The 1,803-nt window shown below is 44.6% G+C and overlaps 1 annotated feature.

The window, feature by feature from the left end:
• Positions 1 to 295: a silencer, noted in NCBI's record as "tiled region #14665; HepG2 Repressive non-DNase unmatched - State 23:Low, and K562 Repressive non-DNase unmatched - State 20:ReprD". NCBI's record gives its function as "represses a minimal TATA promoter and a strong SV40 promoter by Sharpr-MPRA in HepG2 and K562 cells {active_cell/tissue: HepG2 | K562}" and the evidence as "EXISTENCE:reporter gene assay evidence [ECO:0000049][PMID:27701403]".

The following is a 1,803-nucleotide window of genomic DNA, read 5'->3' as shown; positions in this document are numbered from 1 at the left end:
CCCAGAGTGTGGGCAGCTTTTCAATAAGCACTGCTGATTATTCATTCTGGAGAAGCTCTGGCAGTGCCTCTCATACTTTCAGTGCCAGTTAGAATTGCCCCAGGTGCTGATTTGTAATGTAGACTCCGGGTCCCCATGCCCAGAGGTTCTCATTCAGGACACCCGGAGTGAAACACAGGAATTCAGATTTTTAAGAACCACTGGTGATTCTATTGCACATTGGCCCTGATGTAGCACCCTCTAGGTGTGGAGCACTTTTTTTTTCAACAGGAAAATAGCTTTATAAATTAGCAAATTTATTAAATACCATATACTCAATATAACATTTGAACAATTCTTCTTTTTTTTTTTTTTGAGACAGAGTTTCGCTCTTGTTGCCCAGGCTGGAGTGCAATGGCATGATCCCATCTCACCGCAACCTCCTCCTCCCGGGTTCGAGCGATTCTCCTGCCTCAGCCTCCTTGAGTAGCTGGGATTACAGGCATGCACCACCACACCTGGCTAATTTTGTATTTTTAGTAGAGATGGGGTTTCTACTGTTGGTCAGGTTGGTCTCAAACTCTCGATCTCAGGTGATCCGCCGCCTCGGCCTCCCAAAGTGCTGGGATTACAGGCGTGAGCCACAACGCCCTGCCTACAATTCATAAAAGTGTAAAGAAAACAGGGCACGGTGGCTCACATGTGTAGTCCTATCTACTCAGGAGGCTGAGGCAGGAGGATTGCTTGCGCCCTCGAACCCTCCCAGGGTTTCGAGGCTGCAGTGAGCTAAGATCACGCCAGTGCACTCCAGTCTGGGTGACAGAGCAAGGCCCTGTCAAAAAAAAAAAAAAAAAAAAAAGAAAAAAAGAAAAGAGTCACTGAAATCCTAACAGTTTAGATACTGTCATTTCAGGAAATGTTTAGGCATGAATGCATATGAATACATTTGCATAAGCAGGATCATACATTTCGTGGGACTTTTTGTTTGTTTGCTTGTTTGTTTGTTTGTTGTAGAGATGGGGTTTCGATATGTTATCCAGGCTGGTCTTGAGCTCCTGGCCTCAAGTGATCCTCCTGCTTCTGTCTCCCAAAGTGCTGCCTACCAAATGAGGATACTTAAATACCATCTTTTCTTTCTTTTTTCTCCCCCAACCCCTGCTTTTATCCTCCCCTACTCCTACCAGCATCTCCACCACTCTCTGGTGTGTGTCCTTCCATATTTTTCTCCTAGCTTGCATAAACAAACATATCTGTATGGGACTCTGTCACTGTTTGACAAAAATAAGTTCTTTTAAAAAAAAAAATAGAGATGGGGGTCTCACTATATTGCCCAGGCTGATCTCAAACTCCTAAACTCAATCGATCCTTCTACCTTGGCCTCCCAAAGTGTTGGGATTACAGGTGTGAACCACCATTCCCAGCCAAAAAAAAAAAAAAATGTTTTTTTGTGGGGGGTTTATTTTTTGAGATGGAGTTTCGCTCTTGTTGCCCAGGCTGGAGTGCAATGGCACAATCTCAGCTTACTGCAACCTCTGCCTCCTGGGTTCAAGTGATTCTCCTGCCTCAGCCTCCCAAGTAGCTGGGATTATAGGCATGCACCACCATGACCGGCTAATTTTGTATTTTTAGTAGAGATAGGGTTTCACTATGTTGGTCAGGCTGGTCTTGAACACCTGACCTCAGGTGATCCACCCACCTTGGCCCCCCAAAGTGCTGGGATTACAGGTGTGAGCCACTGCTCCCAGCCAGGAAAAAAAAAAAAAAAAAGAGTTCTTATTGTATATTCACTACTCTGTGATTTTGCCCTTTTTTTTTTACTTACTG

The sequence above is a fragment of the Homo sapiens genome, chromosome 10 (assembly GCF_000001405.40).
Source record: "Homo sapiens chromosome 10, GRCh38.p14 Primary Assembly".
NCBI lineage: Eukaryota > Metazoa > Chordata > Mammalia > Primates > Hominidae > Homo > Homo sapiens.
Note: the sequence above shows the minus strand (reverse complement) of the source record. Positions and strands in the feature narration are given on the sequence as shown.